The sequence below is a fragment of the Homo sapiens genome, chromosome 4 (assembly GCF_000001405.40).
Source record: "Homo sapiens chromosome 4, GRCh38.p14 Primary Assembly".
Taxonomy (NCBI): domain Eukaryota; kingdom Metazoa; phylum Chordata; class Mammalia; order Primates; family Hominidae; genus Homo; species Homo sapiens.
The window spans coordinates 169,824,171-169,828,372 of NC_000004.12; the positions used below are offsets into that span (position 1 = coordinate 169,824,171).

Consider the following 4,202-nt stretch of genomic DNA (forward strand, 5'->3'; position numbering starts at 1 on the left):
AACACGCAGCCTGTGGGTTGCATGCAGCCCAGGATGGCTTTGAATGTGGCCCAACACAAATTTATAAACTTTCTTAAAACGTTATAAGATTTTTTGTGATTTTTTTTCTCATCAGCTATCATTAGTATATTAGTGTTTCTGTATTTTATGTGTGGCCCAAGACAATTCTTCCAATGTGGGCAGGAAAGGAGGCCAAAAGATTGGACAGCCCTGACCTAGACTAATGGTTCTGAAACTTGGCTCAGCATCAGGGTTACTGGGAGACATTGTTAAAATAGCATGAATCAGAATCTCTAGGAGTGGGGCCTAGGAATTTGGGGACCGCTATCCTGGATTAATTTCTTGGCTGTCTTACCATGTTTCCTGGAAGAGTTGACTCTAATTCCTCTTGTTTTTCTTTTCCACTGAATGGAATGTAAATTGTAGTATTTAAATTTTTCAGAATGAATAAACAAATGATGATATATCCATACAATGGAACAGTACTCAGCAATGGAAAGGAGCAAACTATCGATATGCTCTACACAATGGAGAAATCTCAAATAATTATGCTGACTGAAAGAAGTCATACAAAAAACTAAACATATTGTATAGTTGAATGTATATAACATTCTATGACATGCAGAGTAATCCATAGTGATATAAACTCAGGGATGGGTTGGCAGGTGGGAGCACAAGAGGACTTTGTATGGGCTGGGTATGTTCATTTCCTTTATACTTTTTTTTTTTTTTTTTTGAGACGGAATCTTGCTCTGTCCCCCAGGCTGGAGTATAGTGGCATGATCTCGACTCAGTGCAACCTCTGGCCTCCTGGGTTCAAGAGATTCTTCTGCCTCAGCCTCAAAGTAGCTGGGATTATAGACATGCACCCCTATACCTGGCTAATTTTTGTATTTGTGGTAGAGATGGGGTTTCACCATGTTGGTCAGACTGGTCTCAAACTCCCAACCTCAAGCAATCCACCCGCCTTGGCCTCCCAAAGTGCTGAGATTACAGACGGGAGCCACAGTGCCCAGCCCATTTCCTTTATTCTAATCATTATTTTATGGGTGCACACACACATGAAATTATATCCTTTAAGCAATTTCTTGTTTATTGAATGTCAGCTATAACTCAATAAAGCTGTTAAAAATAAATAAATAAAAGTTTCAGGGAGATGATTGGATAAAAGTGTATTAAAAATCCTTATGCTATTAAAAACATTATGGAGGTTCTTCAAAAAATTAAAAATAGAATTACCACATGATCCAGCAATCCTATTACTGGACCTATTTCCAAAGGAAATAAAATCAGTATGTCAAAGAGCTATCTGCATCTCATGTTCACTGCAGCATTAGTCACAGTGGCCAAGATTTCTTAGGAACCAACCCAAGTGTCCATCAACAGATGACTGGTGATGGCTCACAGGGAAGAGAGAATGAGCTCCTCTCTGTATGGTGGCTGCAGTATGCTGGAGGTGCCTGTGACATGACTAGGCCCCTTGCTCCTTCCCCAGCCCAAGGACAGTAAAGGCAGTATCTGTACTGCTGCAGTTGCAATGGGAGAGGGGCTATGGTTTGTCTCTAGGATTTCTTCCCCAGAAAATGTAAAGCCTCCACCGACTGAAGTGTTCAGGCAGAGGCAGGGTGGTTGTGCTAGGAGCCCAGTTTGAGAGGCCCTGCCCAGTGAGGTATAACAGAAGCAGGGACATGCGGAAAACAGTCTGGCCACTTTTCCATCAGGCAGCCATGCTGTGCTGGGGATCGACTAAGTCCTTAATTTTTTCACTCCCTCCCAAGCCTGAAGGGAACAGAGGAGGAGAAAGCTGCAAAGCAGCAAAGGTAGTGGCTTGCTTGCTACTACTGGGAGCTCCGTCCCAGGGAAGTGCAGAGTAGCTGTTGGCCTGAGAGCCCAGATGGAGATGGGATGGCTGAGGTCCCACATTGGGAGGCTCTGCCCAGTGAGGAGTAGTAGGGAAAGGTACCCACGTGGAAAACAGTGTGGCCACTTTTCCTAAGGCAGCAAAACTTGTGGGCCTGCCTGCTCCCTCTAGGAGCTCTGTCCCAGGGAAGCACCTTCTACCCTTCACCAGGCAGGGCCCTCAGCCTGGGCCCATAGAGCAGCTTCCCACTCCCAAGTGAGCATTTCCACTGGTGGTGGCTCTGAGTTTCTCTGGGATGGATCTTCCAGAGGCAACTGACAGCCCCTCTGCCACTACCACTGCAGTGGTTCTGCCCTTGCTGCCCTTATACTAAGGAAAAGGACAAAGAGCCTGAGGGCTTTACTTATACCATCAGCTGCAGCTGCCCTAAGGAAAGAGGGCAGTCTGTCTTCTCTGTGAGCCTTGTTCCTGCTGTTTGTCTCCAGGCAGAGCCTCCTGGCTTAGGCCCACAAGGCAGCCACTGGAGTCTGGGCCAATTGCACTGATTGGTCACGGCTCTGCATTTCTCTGGATTGGAGCTTCAAGAGACAAGTGAAAGGCCCTCTGCCATTGTGTCAAGGTCCCTGACCCGAAGCTGGGTAGGGAACGTAAAGCCTGAGCTCACCCCAGGGCTGCAATGTGCAGCCCAGGAGTGCCAAGTCTAGATCTGCAGCCAGCACTCAGGTAGGAGAGGAGCTCATACTCTCAGAGCACAAAGAGGGAGCAGAGCTGCAAATGTGAGGAAATACAGAGGAGCCATGTGGCTGAGCACAAGCCTGCCTATCAGCCATGACGCTTAAGCACCATTTACTGGATCACAGCCCAATTGCAATGCCAAAAATACTTTGCTAATATACCCACGTGAAACCAAGGACAAGAATTCAAATAAAGACCGTGAACAAAGCCTTGGGCCTCTGAAAACACCCAGAAACAAATGCAACTGACCACACACAAATTACACCACAGCTAGAGGAAAACCAGCCCACACAGATGAGAAAGAACCAGTGCAAGAACTCTGGCAACTCAAAAAACCAGAGCGTCTTTTTACCTCCAAATGACCTCACTAGTTCCACAGTAATGGTTCTTAACAAGGCTGAAATGGCTGAAATGACAGAAATAGAATTGAGAATGTGGATCAGAATGAAGATCATCAAGATTCAGGAGAAAACTGAAACCCAATCCAAGGAATCTAAGGAACAAGAGAAAATGATACAGGATGTAAAAGACAAAATGGCCATTTTAAGAAAGAAGAAAACTGATCTGATAGAGCTGAAAAACTTACTTCAAGAATTTCATAATACAGTCACAAGTATTAACAGAATAAGTGGTCAAACTGAGGAAAAGAATCTCAGAGCTTAAAGATTAGTTTTCTGAAATAATTCAGTCAGACAAAAACAAAGCAAAACCAATAAAGAATGAAAAAAAAACCTCTTAGAAATATGGGATTATGTAAAGAGACCAAATCTATGACTCATTGTTGTCCCTGAAAGAGAAAGACAGAAAGCAAGCAACTTGGAAAACATTTTTGAGGATATAATCCATGAAAATTTCCTCAACTGTAATAGCAAGGCCAACATTCAAATTCAGGAAATGCAGAGAACCCCTATGAGATACTATACAGGATGACCATCCCCAAGACACATAGTCATCACATTCTTCAAAGTCAGAATGAAAGAAAACATGTCCCTCTCCCTCTCCTTCTCCCTCTCCCTCTCCCTCTCCCTCGTCTCCCTCTCCCTCTCCCTCTCCCCGGTCTCCCTCTGATGCCACCAAAGTTGTGAAAGCCGAGGCTGGACTGTACTGCCGCCATCTGGGCTCACTGCAACCTCCCTGCCTGATTCTCCTGCCTCAGCCTGCAGAGTGCCTGGGATTGCAGGCGCACGCCGCCACACCTGACTGGTTTTTGCATTTTTTGGTGGAGACGGGGTTTCGCCGTGTTGGCGGGGCTGGTCTCCAGCTCCTGACCGCGAGTGATCTGCCTGCCTCGGCCTCCCGAGGTGCCGGGATTGCAGACGGAGTCTCGCTCACTCAGTGCTCAATGTTGCCCAGGCTGGAGTGCAGTGGCGTGATCTCGGCTCGCTACAACCTCCACCTGCCAGCCGCCTGCCTTGGCCTCCCAAAGTGCCGAGATTGCAGCCTCTGCCCGGCCGCCACCCGTCTGGGAAGTGAGGAGCGTCTCTGCCTGGCTGCCCACCATCTGGGATGTGAAGAGCCCCTCTGACTGGCCGCCCAGTCTGGGAAATGAGGAGTGCCTCTTCCCGGCCGCCATCGCCTGTAGGAAGTGAGGAGCGTCTCTGCCTGG

General features: G+C 47.1%; 1 annotated feature.

Moving 5' to 3' along the window:
• Window positions 1,980-2,164: a silencer, noted in NCBI's record as "fragment chr4:170747301-170747485 (GRCh37/hg19 assembly coordinates)". NCBI's record gives its function as "represses an EF-1alpha promoter that drives an FKBP-Casp9 reporter gene in an ReSE screen in K562 erythroleukemia cells {active_cell/tissue: K562}" and the evidence as "EXISTENCE:reporter gene assay evidence [ECO:0000049][PMID:32094911]".